Below are 23,642 nucleotides of genomic sequence, written 5' to 3'. Positions count from 1 at the left end.
ACTGAATTAAGAGAATAATATTTTTCTATGAAGTGAGTGAATAGTCACGCTTCCTTTAAGAAAGATATTCAGTAAGAAGGAAATAAACTAGCTTAGAATAAACGTCCCATGTTTTTAATCAAAAGCTGATTAAGGATAATACTTTTTTCTTAAAATTTAACATATCATTTCCTAAAATAAATTAAACCAACAAAGCTGTAACTATTTTTTTTATAAAACAAGGCAAAAGTGTTTCAACTTCTGTTAACCTCAATTATAACAGTTTTTTAAAAACCCACAATCCAACCTTATACTTTTAGTTCACTGAAGTTTTTGAGGTACAAAATAGCACATAGGTATACATATATGTATTTGTATATGTTTACAAATGCATCAAAAGGAACTCAAGAAGTATACACTATAGAGTTAATAGTCTTATAAGGGATGTGTGTAAAAAGAAGACTTAAGGACCTTAAATTTTACATCAATTTATTGTTTGAATTTTTACAAGTATATATAAATGTATTATTTCTATTGTTTTAAATAGCCCTATTAACAAGAAATTCCATTTTTAAACCCTCCCCTGAATTTCACATTTTCTAATAGAAAACACTAGTATTTCACTTTAAAATATAGTATTCACAATGGTTACAAGTCTGAAAAGTAAAATAATTTGTGATTATCCTATTAATGGCCTTCATTAATCTCTCTCCAACACTCCAATCTTTTTAAAATTTCATTGCTATAATTATAGAAATATTTTACAAAAGTCATTCCAGTACCTTGTCATTTTTTACTCTTATTAAATTACAATATAGCTACTAATCATTTAAAAAGTTTACATGGATGAATGCAATCAAATATAATTATGTCATTATCAACCCATTTTAAATAATAAAATTTCTAATTCCCACATAGTTCCTCTGGTTCACTCCTCCTACAGATAACAGACTTAGGCAAGCTTACAAAAATGTTGGAATTCACTGAGAATGTCAAGGTCGCACGGGAGTGGAGAAATAATATGCAAAGTCACTGCATCACCTTGTGGTAATGCCTGGGAAGTGTAGCTTCACTAACATCCTGAGAAAAAGTACAAACCTCCTCTCAGTTGGAGAGAAGTACACTCCCTACACAAAAAGGAAAGTAGAAGCAAGCAGCTTTACCATGTCAAATTCTGATTCCCCTTCTCTAAAGTGCACCTCTACAAACAGGAGTATAGTAAGTAGGCAAGCCAAGGATAAGTATGAAACGTCCAGTCAACAATTAAGGGGCCAGACACATTTGGCTGGGAAACAAAATCAGAAATGCTTATACATGCTGGCTACAGTGCCCTCTTCCAGGTTTCCTACTACACTTCCCCAAGTTCCAATGCCTCTAGAATTTCTTTATGTGTGTTATGCTGTAAACTGTATATTATAAAGTCTTTGGTCTAAATTCCAATTTTATTATTTTGCGAATGCATTAATGTCTATAAAAAAGATAAATAATATATAGTGGGCACTCAGTTATGTATACAGCTAAAATAAACATGGGGTGGGGGCAGGGAAGCATTTCAATGTTATCTTTACTTACTCCTCTTGTAACTTTTTCAAGCCCAAAGCAGATTTGACTTTTGTGGTAGTATTTTTCCAGTGGTTCCCAATACTTGTTTTACTTTAGCCCAAAAATGTAAGCCTTAGTGAACTTACTGAAAAATAGACCATAGTAAGAACTTCTGTACATTAAACATATGAAGCCAAATTAAGCTTTTTAATTTAGATAAATACTAAATATAATTTGCCAGTCCTAACAATTAGAATTCAAAAATAAGGTAATTTTGTTATGTGTGATAATATAATTATGGTGATTCTGTGTTTTTCTAGTCTTTATCATTTAAAGATACTAAACTAGGCCGGGTGCGGTGGCTCACGCCTGTAATCCCAGCACTTTGGGAGGCCGAGGCGGGCGGATCACGAGTTCAGGAGATCGAGACCATCCTGGCTAACACGGTGAAAACCCATCTCTACTAAAAATACAAAAAATTAGCCGGGCGAGGTGGCAGGCGCCTGTAGTCCCAGCTACTCGGGAGGCTGAGGCAGGAGAATGGCGTGAACCCTGGGGGGCGGAGCCTGCAGTGAGCTGAGATCACGCCATTGCACTCCAGCCTGGGTGACAGCGAGACTCCGTCTCAAAAATAAAAAATAAATAAAAATAAAAAATAAAGATACTAGGCCGGGCGCGGTGGCTCACGCCTGTAATCCCAGCACTTTGGGAGGCCGAGGCGGGTGGATCATGAGGTCAGGAGATCGAGACCATCCTGGCTAACAAGGTGAAACCCCGTCTCTACTAAAAATACAAAAAATTAGCCGGGCGCGGTGGCGGGCGCCTGTAGTCCCAGCTACTCGGGAGGCTGAGGCAGGAGAATGGCGTGAACCCGGGAAGCGGAGCTTGCAGTGAGCCGAGATTGCGCCACTGCAGTCCGCAGTCCGACCTGGGCGACAGAGCGAGACTCCGTCTCAAAAAAAAAAAAAAAAAAAAAAAAAAAAAAAAAAAAAAAAAAAAAAAAATAAAGATACTAAACTAACTGTAAGTGAAATGTCTTGATGTCTAAGATTTGCTTTAAAAACTCCAGGGGAAAAAATTAATGTTAGAGGGGGTAATAAAACAAGATTAGTAAAGTGTCGGTTCATTTTACTGTTCATTCTCCTTTGTGTATGTTTGAAAATTTCTGTAATAGTAAAACCAAAGCAAATAAAGAAATGAAACAGATTAGTAACACTCCACATATGACCCACTGTAGCAGAAACACTGCATTTTAGAATATGAACGCTTTGTACCCTTAGAAGTGTTGTAATTCAGGTAATGGTTGATAGAGTTACTGAAAGTTTTTCACATCTTCAGCTAAAAAACCTTTAGAATTATCTCCAAACTTTAATCCGATAGGACACACAAACATATGAAAGGAAAAAATGTCCAGCATTCAAATAGTTTCCAATTATTCACACTGTGGCTCAAAAAAAGAAAGACTAACAACTCTCAACAGACCTCTGCTCCCAAAAAATGTAATCAGCAATTTTTCTAGGAGGCAACAGCAAAAGCCCCAGTCTATTAATTTGCACCCTTGCAGACATCCCTATTTCCAGAATCCTTTACACCTGAGTGCCAAGACATTCCGCCCAGGTATCACCCGCACCACTTTTATTTACTTTTTAGATTTTTATAAGTTGGTTTCTAAAATGCTATGATATTGGCCCACACATATTAGGGTAGAGGACATTTTTATCTTCTTCTAAAGGTTTATTTGGGACAAAATAAGCTTTAAAAAGACAGAAATGCATAAAGCCCAGATTTAACATATCCATTCCAAAAGAATACAACAAAGTCCCCAAAAGAAGTATACAAGGAGCATCATTAGGATCTTTCATGATTATTTTAACATTATTAAAAAGGTTGAAACTTTGAATTCCAAAATTTTACTTTTGTTATGGAAAAGGTATTTGCTGGTTAATTCTACAAACATGGCTGCAGTGAGAACTATAAACAGCGGTCTACAATTTAAGAACGTGATGGGCTGGGTGCGGTGGCTCACACCTGTAATCCCAGCACTTTGGAAGGCCGAGGCAGGCGGATCAAGAGGTCAGGAGTTCGACACTAGCCTGACCAACATGGAGAAACCTCGTCTCTACTAAAAATACAAAAATTTGCCGGGTATGTGTGGGGAAAAGCAAGAGAGATCAGACTGTTACTGTGTCTGTGTAGAAAGAAGTAGACATAGGAGACTCCATTTTGTTCTGTACTAAGAAAAATTATTCTGCCTTGAGATTCTGTTAATCTATGACCTTACCACCAACCCCGTGCTCTCTGAAACATGTGCTGTGTCAAACTCACGGTTAAACGGATTAAGGGTTGTGCAAGATGTGCTCTGTTAAACAGATGCTTGAAGGCAGCATGCTCCTTAAGAGTCATCACCACTCCCTAATCTCAAGTACCCAGGGACACAAAAACTGTGGAAGCCTGCAGGGACCTCTGCCTAGGAAAGCCAGGTATTGTCCAAGGTTTCTCCCCATGTGATAGTCTGAAATATGGCCTCGTGGGAAGGGAAAGACCTGACCATCCCCCAGCCCGACATCCGTAAAGGGTCTGTGCTGAGGAGGATTAGTATAAGAGGAAGGCATGCCTCTTGCAGTTGAGACAAGAGGAAGGCATCTGTCTCCTGCCCGTCCCTGGGCATGGAATGTCTCAGTATAAAACCCGATTGTACGTTCCATCTACTGAGATAGGGAAAAACCGCCTTAGGGCTGGAGGTGGGACATGTGGGCAGCAATACTGCTTTGTAAAGCATTGAGATGTTTATGTGTATGCATATCTAAAAGCACAGCACTTGATTCTTTACCTTGTCTATGATGCAAAGACCTTTGTTCACGTGTTTGTCTGCTGACCCTCTCCCCACTATTGTCTTGTGACCCTGACATAGCCCCCTCTCGGAGAAACACCCACAAATGATCAATAAATACTAAGGGAACTCAGAGGCTGGCGGGATCCTCCATATGCTGAACGCTGGTTCCCCGGATCCCCTTATTTCTTTCTCTGTACTTTGTGTCTTTTTCTTTTCCAAGTCTCTCATTCCACCTAACGAGAAACACCCACAGGTGTGGAGGGGCAACCCACCCCTTCAGTGTGGTGGTGCGCGCCTGTAATCCCAGGTACTCAGGAGGCTGAGGCAGGAGAATCGCTTGAACCTGGGAGGCGGAGGTTGCAATGAGCCGCGATCGCGCCACTGCACTCCAGCCTGGGAGACAGAGCAAGACTCCATCTCAAGGAAAAAAAAAAAAAAAGAACGTGATGACTAGAAAACAAAAACTACAATGTTCTTTGAAGTTGAACAATCAGTTTGAAAAATAAATAAAACCTTATTAGAAGTCGGCATCATCAAACAATCCTTCAAGTTTACCCTTGAAAGGAACAGAACGAAAGAGAAAGGCTGTCCTAAGCTCCTTCCCTAAACCCGAAAAGCACTTTGAGGACGATCGACCCACTTTTAGTTTCTATTCAAATGATCTCTTTAAATCCTTTAGGAATTGAGCACCAAACTTGTAACTATTAATTGTTCGTGCACAGCTCGTAGAAATTTTAACATTAGCAGAATGCAGACAGCTGAAAAATCAAGATTTATTTTCCCATCTAAAGCCTAACATAATAGCAATTCATAACCACTGTGTGAAACCGGAAATCTAACACTGTGTATGTCTAAAGTCAAATGCCAGTGTTTTCTAACAAAACTTTTACCAATAAGGTGTGTACACACACCCACACAGACGCACGCTAAGCTCAATTTTTTACTAATAAGGTGTACGCGCGCGCGCGCACGCTAAACTCTAGCCACAGATTCCCTAAGCCAGGAGTGCAAGTCGGTCGGGACTAGTCCACACCTTGCGAACGGGGCGGGGTGGGGAATGGATTCCAGGTGAAGCAGGCCATCAGCCAGAACCGCCAACTCCGCCCGCGGCCCTCAAAAGTAGGCGGCGCAGGGAGTCTCCGCCCCCTTCGCCACCGGCGACTCAAACCAAAACAGCTGGGTTTCTCTCCGCAAAGGCAAACCCCAGCGTCCTTCTCGGACGCGACCTACGTGTTTTCTCAGCTTACTGCGCCGGTAAAACCCACACTGCCCTCAAAACAGTCACCCCAGAGTTTAGCCTTGGACACCAGAAGCTTTTCCTTCGGGGGTCGCCAGCGTCACTCGTCCCCAGCCAAAGGGCCCCCGTCCCACACGCCTCCCCCAAATCGCGAAGGCCTGTCCCACGGGCCTCCCACCGCGTGGGGCGGCCACCCGTTGCCATTCCAAAACTCCACAGCTGATCCGAGTCGCCCACACCCCCGTCACAATCGCAGTCTGGAAAGGAAGGTTTGTCTTCGGGAAGGAAAGCCTCGTCACCACAGAGACCTCTCCCGAGACCGGCCAGGCCCCTACAGTACAGGGGCTGAAGGGTGTAGCACGAGCCCTAAAAGAGATGCAGCTGGAGGCCGCCCCGCACAAGGCGCTGGGGTGGACCGGGGAGGCGCCTTACCCAGTGGAAAGACTCCCGGATCAAGGGAGAAAGTTACGCAGGCTTCCGATCCTGATCCGCCATCAGCCGCCGAACCTCTTCCGCCACTACCGCCTACCCCCAAAGACCGGCTACACCTCCCCTCCCAGCCGACAGTAGGCCTTGCGTCACTTCCGCCCACGGGGCGGTCTCTTCCGCCTCCTGCCTGGTTCGCCGCTCCCCTCCGCGACGACACGCCCCCAGCCCACTCCGCCGCGGGACGCCTCATCCCGCGGGTAGGCTGGCTCTCTCCTTACTTCGTCCTTGCTATTTTCGTTCAACTTAATCGCAGCAAAACAATGCGTCTGGATTTACATTCTGATTTTATGTTATTATTTTGACATACGAAAGGGGGAAACACACAGGAGGTTTAAGTAACTCACCAGCGATGTGGAAAGGGCAGCTCAGAGGTCCATGGACAGTACCGTATCCCTGTCTGCGTCTCAGTCGGCCTAAACTAGCCCACTCATTTTATAGATAAGGAAATAGCCAGAGAAGCAAGGGAGTGACCACACGGCTAGGGCTGCAAACCCCTGAGCACCAAGACTGTCTCTGAACTCCTGGCCCAGTCGTGTGCTTTTTTGGCTATGAAGTTTTGTTCACTGAAAGCTCCTAGGAGCTTTTCAGTTCTAATGCCCTCTGATTCTATTTGCTCTCGCTCCAGCAGAGGCCTCTTTTCTAGCCGCATTTCTGTGAGTTACCTGCTTTTGTTATCCGTATCATTTTCCGTGTGTGAATTTTCTCCCGCGTTCTGTTATTTCTAAAATCACTTTTGCTTGTTGTATATGTTGCCTTCCTATATTGGACATTCAGTTTGAATCGTAACTCCACAGAAGCAAATGTGTCCCATTCGAATTCATCATAGTCTTCTGTTGCCGTAAAACCCTGACAAACCTTGCAATAGCACCAGAAAGGATATGTAAATTAGATCGCATTAAATGTTGAAGCACATTCTAAATACAGAACATTCAAAATTATCTTTCATATACTTTCATCTTTACTTCCAGTTATTTCAGAAGACATTAGCTTTGATAACATAGGTTCTCAATATTTACAGACTGATTTGTTTCCTGTGTATTGACATTTTTGAACTTGGTCTTGTGCTGGGTATTATACTTGATCATAGAATTTCAGAAGAACCTTAATAGGCCATTTAGTCCCAGTCTCCTTATTTTATGGATGAAGAAAACGGTGTGAATAATCAACATAAGTTATCACTTGCGTTACTGGTAGCAACCTTCTGGTAGTAGAAATAACTGTGTCCCTTAAGAAATGTAAACATAGCAGTGAATTTTATAAGCACAATTTGTCAGAGATGTCACTCTTTGTTTAAATCACATTCCTATTTATATGTAATACATTTTTAATTACCACTAATTTTCAGTTAATGAAATCAGAAAAACAGTATGCTTAATAAAAACCATAATTGAAAGACTTTTTTTTTTGCCCTGAGAGGGACGGAGTTTCGCTCTTGTTGCTCAGGCTGCAGTACAGTGGCGCGATCTCGGCTCACTGCAACCTCCGCCTCCCGGGTTCAAGCAATTCTCCTGCCTCAGCCTCCCAAGTAGCTGGGATTACAGGAGCCAGCCACCACGCCTGGCTAATTTTTGTATTTTTAGTAGAGAGGAGGTTTCGCCGTGTTGGTCAGGCTGGTCTCAAAGGACATTTTCACAGGTATTTTTACTTTGTTATTTTTAATTATTTCTTGAATTTTTAGACCTTATTTTCCCCAGGAAGGTATTTGTTCTGGAATTTTAGCTTGCTTCATTCATTTTAATAATGATCCTTTAATTTTTAGACCAAGTTTTTCCCACCAAGATAAATAGATACCCTCTTAGTATTTAATTGAATTTCTGGGTTTTGGGGGAGTAGGGTTTGGGTTTTTTGTTTGTTTGTTTTTTGAGACAGAGTCTCGCTCTGTCACCTAGGGTGTAGTGCAGTGGCATGATCTCGGGTCACTGCAACCTCCACCTCCCAGATTCAAGCAATTCTCCTGCCTCAGCCTCCCCAGTGGCTAGGATTACAGGCGCACACCACCACACTGGGCTAATTTTTATATCTTTAGTAGAGACGGGGTTTCTCCATGTTGGCCAGGCTGGTCTCCAACTCCTGACCTCAGGTGATCTGCCTGCCTCAGCCTCCCAAAGTGCTGGGATTACAAGCATGAGAGACCGCACCCGGCTTTAATTGAATTTCTTAAAGTTAGCCTCTTATTTGTATGGCAGTGGACTATGGCTAGAAGAGATATGGATTCACTTCCTTTAAGTGAAATCTTTCTGCCAGATGGATTTCAGAATTCAGAATTTTTCAGACTTTAGAGAGGTGTGCTTTATGTGACATTCCTCACTATCTGGGGCAGCACCCACAGTCAACTTTTTTTTCCGGAACAATTATGAATATCACACTAAGATAAATGAAATGTATAGTCTCACTCAAGTCAAGTTTTTCAGGTCAGGTTCTGCCACTTTGCCCTTGGGTTCAGGTCAAGTTTTAATGACAAATGAGTCAGGTCAAACAGGTTTTGCCACCAAATGTTGAGAAAACATTTGATTTTCAGAGCTTTTTCTTTTTTTTTTTTTTTTTGAGACGGGGTCTCTGCCCTCTTCCCTGTCACCCAGGCTGGAGAGCAGTGGCAAGATTTCGGCTCACTGCAACCTCTGCCTCCCAGGTTCGAGTGATTCTCCTTCTGGGATTACAGGCATGAGCCACCGCACCTGGCCAATTTTCAGAGCTTTTTAGATTTCGAAGTGGTGAATATTGAGAGAATTATTGGAAAGTAAATCAGTGAGTAACCCATGATTTTTCTGGAGCAACTACAGTGTCAAGTAGTTTCTAGGCAGTTGTCCTGTGTTTGATTGGGAAAATATGCTGACTATATTTAAAAGGCACTGTTCTTTCATTAGAGGAACTTATGATAGCAAAGGGAAGAAAAGAAATGAGCCCATGAAAATGTAGGTAACTAAAGTGTAAATGAATAGGAAGACAGATATTCAGAGATGGGAGAAAGTACAGGCTTATGTTAGCAGTACACTTTTCATGGGGGAGGCAGGCCTAGACTGTCAAAGTGAGGTATGATTTCGATGAGGAGATGGAGGAGGAGGACTTTCCAGTCAGGATTTAAGAGCTTGGGCAAGGGAATCAGGCAAGAAGAAAATTGTTAACCAAAAATAATAATTTCCTCCAAAGTTCATTCATTCACCATTGTGTCATGTCGCTTCTTAATAAGAGCATTTTGTTCATTTACTATGTGCTCTGGGAAAAACAAGGAATCAAGCATGGTTTCTTCCCTGAAACTGCTTAAAATCAGGTCAAGATGTTACCGGATGGTATAGATAACTGTCAAATTTGAAGGAAATGGACTATGAGAAATAAAGTAGAAAGATATACAGAATAATTAATTTTGAAATTAGCTAGACTTTGTAAAAGAGATTGGTCTCTAAACTTCAAAAGACTGATAAGATTTGAAAAGATGAAAAAAAGGCTTACATAGTGAGAATAATATAATTTAAAAGGCACAGATGGGACAACTAGATAGCAAAACATGGATTGAAAATTTTTGAAAAAGTTCAAATAGACATGTTTTATTAGAAACATTACAGGTTTTAAAAGCCAGGCAAATGAGTTGTTCTCCTTTCTTAGAACAATGGTTTACATTAGAATTTGTATTAAAGATTCCTTTTGTTATAAATGATTCTTAATTAAAAAGAAAAAAACACCTTTGTAAACCTTTGTTTTAAAAAGAGAGCTTTTTTTTTTTTTTAGGCAGAGTCTCACTCTTTCACCCAAGCTGGAGTGCAGTGGCGCAATCTTGGCTCACTGCAACCTCTGCCTCCCGGGTTCAAGTGATTCTCCTGCCTCAGCCTCCCAAGTAGCTGGGACTACAGGTGCATGCCACCACACCCAGATAATTTTTTTGTATTTTTAGTTGAGACGAGGTTTCACTATGTTGGCCAGGATGGTCTCAATCTAAAAAGAGAGCCTTTAAAAATGAGATTTGAATAATGGTAGGCTTTGGATAGGCAGAGAAAGAGAGGATTCCAAACACTCTAAAATAGGCTGATTTTCTCTTTCCCTGTCTGTTAGATTTTATTGATGTATTCATTGCTCCTTGTTTCCCAATCATTACCTACCTAGGTGCTTGTAACACACCTTTGCTCCTTTGAGATATACACTGTTGTGTTATGCTCCGTCTTCCCTCCCTGTGGCTGTCGTCTTCTGATCTCCAAGTCACTGTTCCTCATTCAGTGAAGAGTGTCACCTAGTGCACAGTCTCCTCCATTCTAAGCCATTCATTGTCTACTTGGATGAGATTAAAATGAAAAGGCCAACATCCCAGCATTTTAATTTCCTGAATCCCTCATCTCAAATACTCCACTCCAGATACCTATTTCTGTGGTCACACCTTGGCCCTTGCCATCATCTTGAAAAGCAAGCCTCCTACTCTTTGACCACAATCTCCTATTCTTCTAACTTGTTCATTCAAATATGCCCAGCAGAACTATTTTTCAAACTCATCAGCATCTCAATCCATTTCTTTTTTTAATACTTCCCTCAGTATCCAACTTAGAGTCCATAGCTATAATTTCATTAACACGACTTCCAACACCTTAAACTCCCTTGACTTCCTATCTTGCACATTAAGGAAAATTTCCTATAACAAATGCATTACAGACTTTGTAGTCATCACATGCTTTACACTAAAGTTTACGTCTGGAAATACTAAGCAGAAACTTTGAAGTTAAAATTGAGTGTTTTGGGAAGTTTCTTGCACTATCAAAAAGAGAAACTATAATTTATGATACTAAGAAACAGAGCCTGCAGAGGTTTATATAAGACCTTTGCCCCATTGGCTCCTAACAGTGTTCTTTGTTCCTTGTGCAACTGAAAGGTCACTAGAATGTAAATATTTTCTAACCTCTCTTCCTCATCTTACTGAGAAGAGTAATAGCCAGCAAAGTACTTTGAATTTTTAAGGTACTTATGTCAACAAGATTCTTCCTTCCCAGTGTTTCTTATTAAATACCTGTATTTTGTGAGTCACTGTGTATCAATGATAATTAAAGTTAATAAAAATTATTTTAAGGAAATGTTAAGATAATCTTCAAATGTTTAATTTTAACCAAGGCTAAATCAAAGTTTTAGGCTCAAATATGTTTTTATTTCACAGATCCCAACACCTCCCACCTTCTCAGGAACTCTGCATTATCTCATTTTTATATTCAAGCCCCCTATCTCCACGAGATCTTTTCCATTGTCTTTTTAAACATATTGAAGTCTCTTCAATTTTTAAAAACTTTCCCAGCTCCCTGTTTCCTTCCAGCTCCTATTGTCTTTTGTCTTTACAAGCAACCTTCTCACTTCTAGGAAGAATTGTCTATATTATACTCCCTCATCTTCCATCTATTTCCAGCAAGTTCCAGAAGGCATATTTCTAGCAAGATGCAGAGGGCAGATTTCTAGCAAGTTCCAGATAGTGGATGTCTAGCAAGTTCCAGATGGTAGATTTCTGGCAAGTTCCAGAAGGTGAATTTCCAGCAAGTTTCACCAGCTCAGCAACACAAGGACTTCTCTGTGAGACTTCTCTGTGCGACTTTATTCAGGGACCCACAGACGTGCCCTTTCCAGGGCCTAGATGTCAGCCCTGAGAGGTGATCTTGCTTGGACACTCTATCTCAGATCTAGGGGTGGTGCCTCTCCTTATATCAGCCATTCTTATATTTTTTAGAGTTCCTTTTACTCCTGTTAGCCTTGTTACTTCAATCTCCTGTTATAGTTTATAATTCTTTATATTAAACTTTCCTTGTTCGTATTACCTATATGGTTTTTCTCTACTAATTGGACCCAGACTGACACAACCATTCTACTGCTTTGTTTAGCTTCATAGGTAAAGCCTGTCTTATTTTTCTTTCTTCCCCTGAAGTAATTGCTCAGAGTTCATTCCGTTCCGACCAAGTAGGGTTGCTGCCAAAATGTAGGTCTTTGTTGTACTGTAATTTTCTACTGCTACTTGATGTTAATTATGATGCATAGGGGCTAGAATTTCTTCAGTAAGGTATAGTTTAGGTTGCAGAATTCAATGAATGATGATTTATTGCCATTTAGCATTGGGTTTAATAGATGAAAGAAATGCCTTTATTCTCACAAGAGACCGTGGCTAGGCTGATCCTGCCATGAAGACAAAAGGAAAAATGAAATTATTACCAAGTACTTATGCTGAGCATCTTTAGAAAGTAATTTGTAATACATTTTATTAGTTAATTGTGAAAATTGACTTCTGACGTTACATAGTGCGATATAGCAAGTTCTAAGACAAGCTGTGAGTAGACAAAATTCCCCTTCCTGAATCTTTCCTTTTCTACACTTTTTCCTCTTTTTCAGGTACCCTTCACAGGTTTAACAGCCTCCACCCCTCGGGCACCAAGCAGTGTTATCCAGGAAAAAAAAAAAAAAAGAGACTGATTCTCAGTAGTAATCTCTGTGCCTGTGAGGAACTTAATGCAAGTCTCAGGATCTCAAAATAAGACCTACGAGCATAAAGTAATGAGTCTGTCAAGCTGGATTTCCATGCATGGGGGAGGATCTCTTTAAGTAAGGAAACTTCCTTGTGCTTCTTTAAGCACAGTTGCTATCATTCCGGGAGAAGCTCCTTTTAACCCATATCTTCTTCCAACTAGCATCCTATTTTTTTTCTTTCCTTCCCAGCTGAACTTCTTAAGGACCAACCTATATGATGTGATATTTTAGATATTAACCTATTTTTCTTGGTATTCCTTGTATAGCTTGCCACTTTCCCAACCCTCACCCATAGGTTTGTTGCATTGAAGAAAGGATGTAGAAGGAAAATCTTTCTGGCTTTTGTTTCTAGACTCTCAAACCCCACAAATGGGGAGAGGATTCAGGCCACAGAGAAATGGCTTCAGGAGAAGCCAAGGGCAGGGGTATATAGGTGGAGGGAGAACAGGCAGCATCTTCCTCCCCCTCAACTCTAGAAACAGATTTCTCTGGGTCTGAGAGGGTGGGAGGGTGCTTCTAGGTGGACAAAACCACACAGCCCGTTTAACCTTCCTGGTCTCCAAAATATCCCGTACCCTATCTTAGTACAGAGCAATATTTCAAAATCCTGACAAAACCAGAATGGAGACTCAAAACAGAAATTGAATTGGTGGAATATATTAAAACATATTTCTTTACAAGCTTGAGTTGTGGGCTAAAATTCATACTGCTACATGTTCATTAATCTTGCCTTCCTCACCCCATAAAATGTGCTCAGGCTGGGCATGGTGGCTCACGCCTGTAATCCCAGCACTTTGGGAGGCCGAGGCAGGCAGATCACCAGAGGTCAGGAGTTCGAGACCAGCCTGGCCAACATGGTGAAACCCTGTCTCTACTAAAAATACAAAAATTAGCTGGGCGTGGTGGCAGGTGCCCATAGTCCCAGCTACTTAGTAGGCCGAGGCAAGAGAATCACTTGAACCCGGGAGGCGGAGGTTGCAGTGAGCCAAGATCGTGCCACTGCATTCCAGCCTGGGTGACAAAAGCAGACTCCATCTCAAAAAAAAAAAAAAGTGTGCTCAACCCCCACCAGTCCACTGAAAGTTACCATGGTAAGGTCATCAATGACCCTCATTTCCCAACCTACTTTTCAGTTCTCAGACCTTATTCCACAAACTTTTCAACCAAGAAGTTCTAATGATAGAATTGTTCACTCCTTCCTGCTTAAAACTTTTTCCTTATCCCCTTTGGGATACAATTGCATCCTAGTCTTCCTTTTATTTCTCTGAATATGCCTTCTCAATTTCATTTGTGGGCTTCTCATTTTGCAGTTGCTCCCATAAGTACTAATCTTCCTCAGAGTCCAGCCATCAGTCCCTTCAGGTTTAAATTATTTCTGATTATGATTGCATATTTTCAATTGCCAAATATACTAATACATTTATTAATAACTACCAGATCTACCAGATCTATATCTCCAGCCCAGGCTTTCCTCCTGACATCAACCCTATGTATAATAGATATCCACTTACATGTCACACAAACATCCTAAACCCAGGTTTTTTTGTTCTTTTTTTTTTTTTTTTTAGACAGGGTCTCACTCTGTCACCAGGCTGGAGTGCAGTGGCACAATCTCGGCTCACTGCAACCTCCGCCTCCCAGGTTCAAGTGATTCTCCTGCCTCAGCCTCCCGAGTAGCTGGGACTACAGGTGCACACCACCATGCCCAGCTAATTTTTGTATTCTTAATAGAGACAGGGTTTCACCATGTTGACCAGGATAGTCTTGATCTCTTGACCTTGTGATCCGCTGGCCTTGGCATCCCAAAGTGCTGGGATTAACAGGCATGAGCCAATGCGAACTGGCCTTCTTTTTTTTTTTTTTTTTTTTTAAGAGACAGAGTCTTGCTTTGTCACCCAGGCTGGAAGGCAGTGGCACAATCACGGCTCACTGCAGCCTTGACCTCCTGGACTCAAGCAATCCTCCCACCTCAGCCTCCTGAATAGCTGGGATGATAGGCATGTACCACTACACCTGACTAATTTTTCATTTTTTGTAGAGACAGTGTCTTGCTATGTTGCCCAGGTTGGTCTTGAACTCCTAGCCTCACACGATCCCCTCGCCTTGGCCTCCCAAAGTGCTGGTATTGCAGGCATGAGCCACCATGTCCAGCCCCGCATTTCTAAAAGTGAATTTGCCATCTTTCTCTCACTTCACTCCCCTTCACCTGCATTCCTTTTCTATACCAATCAAGGTCCTGGCAGGAAATGGATGACACACTCTGTAAGTCATTGATGAGAGTTTAATGATAGGACCCTTTAAGAATCCAGTAAAGTTTCTCTCTAGCAGCAGAAGAAGCAGAAACAGAGAGGAAGCTGTTATCCCCCAACTGGGTCAGGGAAGCATTTGAGACCTGGATGTGGAGGAAGGGCTCTCTGTTAGAAGGTGTGGCCTCTCTCTGATCTCTTGCTAATACCACTCATTGGCCAAACCCAACCTGAAACCAGGGATAAAAAGAGCCCAGGGATTCGGTCTCTTGAGGTCAGCTTCTTGGGCAGAAAGTAGTGAGGTAAAGGGTGGAGAATAGTTCTATTGGGGCAAATGGACAAAAACCAGCCTATCTCAATGAATGGCAACACCAAGGACCCAGTCTTGCTTGCCAGGAACCTGGGAATTTGTCTCAACTCCTCGCTCTTACTTACTCCATTATATGCAATCAGTCACCAAATCCTGTCTATGTTGCATTCTGAATGTTTCTCACATTTACCTCCTCCTTGCCGTTCCCTACCAGTGCTCCCAGCTCAGGTCCTTATCTCTTTTCACCTTGATAAGTGCACACATTTCTTATCTAGTCTCTCAGCTTCTAGCATCAAACCATCCCTTTACCATCCCTTCACACTGCTACTAAAGTTTTCTTTCCAAAAGGCTAAGATCTAAGTGCTTTAATGACAAGACCATTCTTTTCTCCCAAATTTCTATTTTTTTTTGTTTTAGTTTTTAAATGACAAAAGTCATATACCATAACTCCCAAGGAAAGCCAAGCTGGACTGAAGTGTATCAAATAAAATGTAAAATTTTCTAAAGAGGTAACCGTTGTTAATAATTTTGTTATGTTTTTCCAGATAGATTTTTTTAAAATGTTTTTATTTTGAAATAATTAGGCTTACAGGTAGTGGCAAAAAAAAAAAAAAAAAAGTAAAGGGAGTCCGCTGTACCCTTCACCCAGTATCTGAGTTGAATTGAGTGTGCCAAAAACATACGCTCGAGTCCTAATCCCAGGAACCTATGAATGTCACCTTATCATTTCAGATATAATCAAGTTGAAATGAGGTCATACTGGATTAGGGTGGGCATCAATCCAGTGGCTCGTGTTCTTGTAAGAAGAGGGATATTTGGACATAGGTACACAGAGAACACCACATGACAACAGAGGCCGACATTGAAGTACTGTATGTACAAGCACAGGAACACCAGCATACAAGGATTTGATAGAAACCACTAGAAACTGGGGAAGAAGCCAGAAACGATCCTCCTCTAGATGCTTCAGAGAGCATGGATCTGCCAATACCTTGATTTCAGACTTCTAGCCTGCAGAACTAAGAGAGAACAAATTCCTATTATTTTGAGCTATCCGGTTTGTGATAATTTATTACAGCAGCCCTAGGAAACTAATACACTCGGCTTGCCCCAATGGTAATATTTAGTATAACTATAGTACAATATCAAAGCAAGGAAATTGACATTAGTACCATACTGTTAACTAGACCACAGGCCCTGTGTAGATTTCACCGCTGATTGATTTTTTAATCACACAAGTGCATACACAGACACACATGTCTCTTGCTTTTTAAATTATTTGTTCTCAGTTTAGATAAAGTTTAACCATTAGTAACATGACAAAGGATTTTTTTAATAAAGCTTCAAATTAAAAAAAAAGACTAACCAATGGAAAAATGGATTAAAATACATAAATAAGCAATTCATAGAAGGAAAATTATGAACAGTCAATGAACACATGAAAAGATGCTGAGCTACACTAATGATCAGGGAAACATAAAATCACAATGAAATGCTTTTCACCATTAAATTGATACAAATGTAGAGATTGATAACAGAAAGAGACCCTCATACTCAGAGAGGTGGGATGTAAATTGGTACAAAATGTTTTAGAGGACAATTTAGCAATATACATAAAATTTAAGGTGTTTGTACTATTTGACCAGCAACTGCACTTCCAGGACTCTTGGAAATACTTACACATATGCAGAAAAATATTTAATAGGACATATTACTTTGAATAGGGAAGAATTAGACAAACTAAATGTTGACTAATGGGGGAATGGTTAGATTAATTGTGATATGCCCATAATATGTAGCCATTAAAAGAATGAAGTAGACAATCACATATTGTAAGTGAATAAGGAAAATAATAAACAATAGGTATTAGAGAGGCTGTGTTTAAAGAGTGTATGCTCTATCTGAATTCATAATCCTGGCTCCACCACTTACTAGTTCTGGAAACCTGGATAGTTTAAATATTTACTTAGCCTTCGGTTTTCTTATAGGAAAATTAGAGTAGTAATGTTAGTACCCATCTCAGAGGATTCTGTTGTCAGCAGAAATGTGTTAGTTTACATAAGCAATATTTCAAAATGGTATCCGGTACATAGCTATTACTCAGTAAATGTTAGCTACTACCATTATTATTGTTTATATAAAATATATATATTTTTACCAGTATCTTATATATCTATATGTATTTATATCTATCTGTATATATGGAAGGATACATATAAAATTGTGATGCCTTCTGGAAAGGGGTATAACTTTTTTCATATGTCTCCTATCTTTCTGAGAAGGAGTATAACTTTCATCTTCAATAATACATACTTCTGGGCCGGGTGCGGTGGATCACGCCAGCACTTTGGGAGGCCGTGGCGGGTGGATCACAAGGTCAGGAGATCGAGACCATCCTGGCTGACATGGTGAAACCCCGTCTCTACTAAAAATACAAAAAATTAGCCGGGCGTGGTGGCGGGCACCTGTAGTCCCAGCTACTTGGGAGGCTGAGGCAGGAGAATGGCATGAACCCGGGAGGCGGAGCTTGCAGTAAGCAGAGATTGCACTACTGCACTCCAGCCTGGGTGACAGAGCGAGACTCCGTCTCAAAAAAAAAAAAATAGATAATAATAATACATACATACATACTTCTGTAGTTGACCTTTGTTATTGTTCTTGACCAATCAACTTCTGAACCACCTTGCTTTGGGGAATCCCCCACCTTATGAAGCAGATTTTGTATTCCATTATAAATATTGAAAATGGAAGAAATGTGTTTTTTCATACTCCCTTGTTATCGGGTCCTGGGCTCCACCAGTTAGCTGCATATAGAATTCATTCTGGCCCAGGAGAGGCAGCAGCTCAGTGGAAACTGTGGGGTCTCCAGAGGGAGACATGACAGTAATTGTAGCATCAGTGTTAGCAGAACCAGCTGTGTGGACGGTGGGGGAAAGGTGAGTAGTTCTTTGAAGGACTGGTCCCTCATATTATGATTTTCAAGCCTTCCCAGAGGATCTGTGAGCTGTCCACTCCCTGTTCAGTAAAAACTGTTTTCCTAGATAAGCCAGAGTTTGTTTCTTTACTAGACACTAAAAACACTGATTTTTGAAATGAAAAGCCTCCCTAACTTATTATTATGAATAATTTCAAACATATAGAAAAGTTAAGGCCAGGCACGGTGTCTCACGCCTGTAATCCCAGCACTTTGGGAGGCTGAGGCAGGCGTATCACCTGAAGTCAGGAGTTCGAGACCAGCCTGGCCAACATGGTGAAACCTTGTCTCTACTAAAAATACAAAAATTAGCCAGGCGTGGCGACATGTGCCTGTAGTCCCAGATACTCGGGAGGCTGAGTCAGGAGAATCTCTTGAACCCAGGAGGTAGAGTGCAGTGAGCAGAGATAGTGCCACTGCACTCCAGCCTGGGCAACAGAGCATGACTCCATCTCAAAAAAAAAAAAAGTTAAAAGAGTAGTAAAATGAATAACTGCATATCATCCATCCAGATTCAACAATTAGTAATATTTTTATATATTTGCCTTATATGTATGTTTGTGTGCTTTCTGAACATTTGAGAAAGTTGCAAACACCTAGGAAAATGAATAATAATTTCATAATATCTTCCTATAAATGAGCCATATTCAGAGTTCACCAAATGTCCCAAGAATGCCTTTTTTATCTATTTTTTTCAAGCCAAGGTCCAATAAAATACATTGTATTTGGTTATGTCTGCTCAGTGTCTTGTAATAAAAAATGTAATTGAAAAAAGGGCAATATATGGGTTTTGATCTTTTATTGTCTTCTACTTAGTGACTGAGTAGATTAATATGGGAGCTAACAGTTACTTATTACTAATCAAATGCCAGGCTTATGTGAGGCGATGGGCATATCAATATGAATAGGACAAGGTCCCTAACCTCAAGGAGGCGATGGGCATATCAATATGAATAGGACAAGGTCTCTAACCTCAAGGATATAGTCCCTCTGTGTTCCTCCAAATGCACACAATTTATCTGCCTCACTTTTGCCCAGCTTAAGGAACAGAAACGGACGGGGATATTAGCGTTAATCATTTTCTTGACCTAGTGCCACAGTATGGAGTAGGAGAGCTGAGCAGGGCTGGATGCACACGTCTAAGGAGTTATCTATCATCCACTTCTTTACACATCTAAGGAGTTATCTATCCTCTTTCTTTCTTCTCTCTCTCTCTCTCTCTCTACCTCCTTCCCCCTCCCTCCTCCCTCCCTGCCTCCCTCTCTTTTTTTGGCTGGAGGGCAGTGGCACGATCTCGATCTCGGCTCACTGCAACCTCCACCTCCCGGGTTCAAGTGATTCTCCTGCCTCAGCCTTCCGAGTAGCTGGGATTATAGGCGTGAGCCACCACACCTGGCTAATTTTTGTATTTTTAGTAGAGACGGGGTGCCATCATGTTGAGCAGCCTGGTCTGGAACTTCTGGCCTCAAGTGATTCGCCCACCTCCGCCTCCCAAAGTGCTGGGATTACAGGTGTGAGCCACTGAGGCTGGCTCATCTACTACTTTGAAAAGCCCATACAAACTCATGGCCATCAGGGACTGTCACAGGTTGATTCCAGTCTAACTGTCCAGCCGCAACTCTCACCACTTCCTGTTACAGAACTCAAACTAGACCCACAATTTCTAGAATATGTTTCATGTTTTCCCATCCCTACGTCGTACTGAATTACTTTCCCCCATCTGTATCTTCAAACTCCTATCAATACTGCAAGGCCCAAGATATATGCCACAAGCTTAGTGAAAATGCTCTAGAATCTACTTCTAACTAGAAGAAAGCTTTCCTTCTTTTGTGCTCTAGCTTGCATATCTCTTATTTTGCTTGTAAGTTTTATTTTGTATTATCACATTGTGCTGTTTCCCTAAGTAACTCATTGAAGGGAAGGACTTTATTTTAGTACTTATACTACTCATCACATAGTAAGTATTCAGTCGGTTTTTGTGAATTTGATTATAACTAATCATACAACTTTGAAAGTAATTAGAGAGTAACTGGCAAAACACCAGGCATTAAAAAGAATTCTAAAGAAAATGAGATTCACATGGCTGATTCTGTATACCAGGCCCTCTTCGCCTTAAACATGGCTTTCTCAGGAAAGCCTTCTGAGATGTTCCCAAACTAAGGCATATTTCCATTATAATCTTTCAGCACCACATACTTTTCTTTATTCACATTTCATAATTATATACCTTTTTGGGGCCGGGCACGGTGGCTCACACCTGTAATCCCAGCACTTTGGGAGGCCGAGGCAGGTGGATCACAAGGTCAGGAGTTCAAGAACAGCCTGGCCAATGTGGTGAAAGCCTGACTCTACTAAAAATAAAAAAATTAGCCAGGCATGGTGGTGGGCGCCTGTATTTCCCAGCTACTTGGGAGACTACGGCAGGAGAATCGATCGCTTGAACCCAGGAGGTAGAGGTTGCAGTGAGCCAAGATCACGCCACTGCACTCCAGCCTGGACAACAGAGCAAGACTCCATCTCAAAATTTAAAAAAATTTAAAAAAAAACTTTTTTGGTGATTATTTTATTAATATATTTAGCATTAGACAGAAGATTCTGTGAGGTAAAGAGTCATATTTGATTTTGTCCATCATTATGGCCCCAGCACCAAAGTGAGTAGCATCTCACAGTATTATTTTCAAATATTTTATAAATATTTGTTGAATAAATTAATGAATAAATGAGTGGATATTGTATAATCATGGTGCCCAAGAACCAAAAGCTCGTAAAGGAAAATACTAATAACTATGTAAGAAATAGTCCCAGCAACGTGACCAGACCCTTAAGCTACGAAAGGACACTTGTACATCATGTTGTGTATAGTGTCATTCTTTATTGATGATTGTAAGTTTTAAAAATTACATGTGGGCTGGGCACAGTGGCTCACGCCTGTAATCCCAGCACTCTGGGAGGCCAAGGTGGGCGGACTGCCTGACCTCAGGAGTTCAAGACCATCCCAGGCAACATGGTGAAACCCCATGTCTACTAAACTGCAAAAAATTAGTCGGGCATGGTGGTGTGTGCCTATAATCCCAGCTACTCGGGAGGCTGAGGCAGGAGAATCACTTGAGCCCGGGAGGCAGAGGTTGCAGTGAGCCAAGATCACACCACTGCAGTCTAGCCTGGGAGACAGAGTGAGATGCCGTCTCAAAAAAAAAAAAAATTAAAAAGTTTCATGTGAATTAATCTAATGGAATATCATTTTAATACAAGTATTTTTATAAACCCACTGCTACATAGTCTAAGAATAGTAGGCAGTTTTTTAAAAATGCTTTTCCTGGCCAGATGCTGTGGCTCAGGCCTGTAATCCCTACACTTTAAGAGGCCAAAGCAGGAGGATTGTTTTGAGCCCAGGAGTTTGTGTAGAGACCCTGTCTCTACACAAAAATTAAAAATTAGCTGGGCAGGCCGGGCACAGTAGCTCATGCCTGTAATCCCAGCACTTTGGGAAGCTGAGACGGGCAGATCACCTGAGGTCAGGAGTTTCGCGACCAGCCTGGACAACATGGTGAAACCTTATCTCTACTAATAATACAAAAATTAGCCGGGCATGGTAACGGGTGCCTGTAATCCCAGCTACTCAGGAGGCTGAGGCAGGAGAATCGCTTGAACCCGGGAGGTGGAGGCTGCAGTGAGCTAATTCGCACCACCGAACTCCAGCCTGGGCAACAGAGTGAGACTCTGTCTAAAAAAAAAAAAAAAATTAGCTGGGCATGGTGCACATGCCTGTAGTCCCAGCTATTCAGGAGGCTGAGGTGGGAGGATCGCTTGAGTCCAGGAGTTCCAGGCTTCAGTGAGCTACGATCATGCCACTGCACTCCAGTCTGGGCAACAGTGCAAGACTTTGTCTCTAAAGAAAAAAAAAATGTTTTTCCATATATATGTATTTAAGTATGTGTGTACTATTACTATATACATATATAATGTGTATGTATTATACACACATATATGTTTATATATTATATATATGCACATGGCTTCTTCAATTGGTTTATTCAAAGTTTTTTTTTAATTTGCAAGAAAATGATCTTGTAGGCCAGAGTAATTATTAACACTGTGTCTAATTTGAAGAAAGTAAAATGGAGATATAGCAATTGTCTGATTCATGGGATAAAGACATTCAGTTGACAATATAAGCCTAAAACTAAAGGTATCTAGATTACCAGTTTATTTACATTGATCATATTGTCTGGATGATTTATAAATCTTCATTTTCATTGTGGGGAGAGCAAGCATAGATTTTTATTCTCTAAAACTTATCATTAAAAAGAATGAATAAATTCCTTTTCAATACTTTTAAAACTCTTCAAAACAGTCTGACACCTTAGACTCCAGTACAACTACTGTCTTTGGCACAAGCTGAGATCACATGGTGTTAACATTTCTTATTAAGGAAAAAGTCCTTCTGTATGTTTTCTATTTTCATTTCTGACACTTAATTAGAATTAATAAAGTTACCCCATTTATAGATTGCAAGAGCTGCCAGGAGTCCTGAAACTGTACTAGAAAGATGGATGAAATTTGTGACTTTTCTCACATGAGACCAAGTGAGATCAGACATATTAATTCTACACATGTAGCTGAGAATGTGTGTGCCTCCGTGTCTGTGGCAAAGAAGCTCAGTGAACTTAAGGCGTGATCTTTGGCAGCTTTATGCAGCATGATGGGCATGAAGAAAAATGTTTATAAAAGAACACATTTGAATCCTTGGTACCTCTCGGTGTGATCACTACATTGTCAAACAGTAAAGGAATGTCTAAGCACAAATAAATTATGCATTCCCTGAATGAAGTCTGCTCCCTGGTGTGTAATTACTGGATGTGTACTTGGGAGTTCCAAGTTTGAGCAAGTGTTTCATTTCTCACTTAAGGGATTCAGCACACCTCCTGGCACCCACCATACAGTAAACAACAGCTTCCAGATGCCAAAAGCACACTCCTGCCAGCAGCCAGCAGATGGCTGTGTGGATGGCAGACAGGATGCCCTCACACACTGCTCCATCCTGCTGACTGGCTTGTTTTATTTATTTATTTATTTGATACCTACAAAACAAGTCACATAGTTAATTTCTGAGCTTGGAAGTGTTAGAATAAAATAAGTAGCCATTAACACACCACCCAAACTTAAGAAGAATGACAACATTATCTATTTTTTTCACCTACCTATATATGTTTCTCTCCTTTACCTCACAGAATCTTCTCATTTTTCTGCCGCCTTTTCAGAGGTAACTGAAATCTTGATTTGTTTGCATTTGTTTTTCCTATGTTTTAAAACAATGGTTTTAGTAGATAGATATAAATATATAGATATTTAAACTTTGCACTGTTTCACCTTCCTTGTTTTGTGCTTTATAAAAACAACATATTTAAAATAGTCTTCTGCAACTTGATTTTGTTCACCCAAGGGTATGTTTTCAAGATTCATCTATATTGTTGCTTGTAGCTGTAGCTCACACATTCATTTTCACTGCTGTATAAAATTCTATTGTGTGAATTAGCCGGGCGTGGTGGCAGAAGCCT

The 23,642-nt window shown here is 40.8% G+C and overlaps 1 protein-coding gene and 2 long non-coding RNA genes across 8 annotated transcripts in view, besides 4 other annotated features; 1 reads left to right on the top strand and 2 right to left on the bottom strand.

Annotated features, from left to right (window-relative positions):
• The window catches only part of TAX1BP1 (Tax1 binding protein 1), a 90,395-nt gene extending 83,475 nt beyond the window's left edge, over nt 1–6,920 (bottom strand). For 5 of the 6 annotated variants that reach the window (NM_006024.7, NM_001362794.2, NM_001079864.3 and 2 more), the window contains exon 1: nt 6,024–6,131. The gene's annotated coding sequence lies outside the window, so the exon portion shown is untranslated. Of the gene's footprint in view, nt 1–6,023; nt 6,132–6,742 lie in introns of those variants that run through there. The other variant, NM_001206901.1, reaches the window with a different exon arrangement.
• Nucleotides 4,470–5,333: an enhancer, noted in NCBI's record as "NANOG-H3K27ac hESC enhancer chr7:27780579-27781442 (GRCh37/hg19 assembly coordinates)". NCBI's record gives its function as "activates a minimal SCP1, AML or CMV promoter by ChIP-STARR-seq in primed H9 embryonic stem cells {active_cell/tissue: H9 hESC(primed)}" and the evidence as "EXISTENCE:reporter gene assay evidence [ECO:0000049][PMID:30033119]".
• Nucleotides 5,334–6,196: an enhancer, noted in NCBI's record as "NANOG-H3K27ac-H3K4me1 hESC enhancer chr7:27779716-27780578 (GRCh37/hg19 assembly coordinates)". NCBI's record gives its function as "activates a minimal SCP1, AML or CMV promoter by ChIP-STARR-seq in primed H9 embryonic stem cells {active_cell/tissue: H9 hESC(primed)}" and the evidence as "EXISTENCE:reporter gene assay evidence [ECO:0000049][PMID:30033119]".
• Nucleotides 5,448–5,680: a silencer, noted in NCBI's record as "fragment chr7:27780232-27780464 (GRCh37/hg19 assembly coordinates)". NCBI's record gives its function as "represses an EF-1alpha promoter that drives an FKBP-Casp9 reporter gene in an ReSE screen in HepG2 liver carcinoma cells {active_cell/tissue: HepG2}" and the evidence as "EXISTENCE:reporter gene assay evidence [ECO:0000049][PMID:32094911]".
• On the top strand, nt 5,618–13,234 carry TAX1BP1-AS1 (TAX1BP1 antisense RNA 1). Its single transcript, NR_187572.1, has 2 exons — nt 5,618–6,277; nt 12,420–13,234. It is a non-coding gene; the product is annotated as a TAX1BP1 antisense RNA 1 (long non-coding RNA).
• Nucleotides 5,848–6,117: an enhancer, noted in NCBI's record as "active region_25792". NCBI's record gives its function as "activates an Ori minimal core promoter by ATAC-STARR-seq in GM12878 lymphoblastoid cells {active_cell/tissue: GM12878}" and the evidence as "EXISTENCE:reporter gene assay evidence [ECO:0000049][PMID:35858748]".
• Nucleotides 13,235–23,243: 10,009 nt separating the features above from the next.
• Nucleotides 23,244–23,642, bottom strand: part of LOC105375211 (uncharacterized) — a 75,204-nt gene continuing 74,805 nt past the window's right edge. The window contains exon 3 of the long non-coding RNA XR_007060268.1: nt 23,244–23,383. This is a non-coding gene — a long non-coding RNA (uncharacterized LOC105375211). The remainder of the gene's footprint in view (nt 23,384–23,642) is intronic.

Source organism: Homo sapiens, chromosome 7 (genome assembly GCF_000001405.40).
Source record: "Homo sapiens chromosome 7, GRCh38.p14 Primary Assembly".
In the NCBI taxonomy this organism is placed as follows: domain Eukaryota; kingdom Metazoa; phylum Chordata; class Mammalia; order Primates; family Hominidae; genus Homo; species Homo sapiens.
The sequence above is the reverse complement of the archived record's forward strand: the minus strand, read 5'-3'. Positions and strand labels throughout refer to the sequence as shown.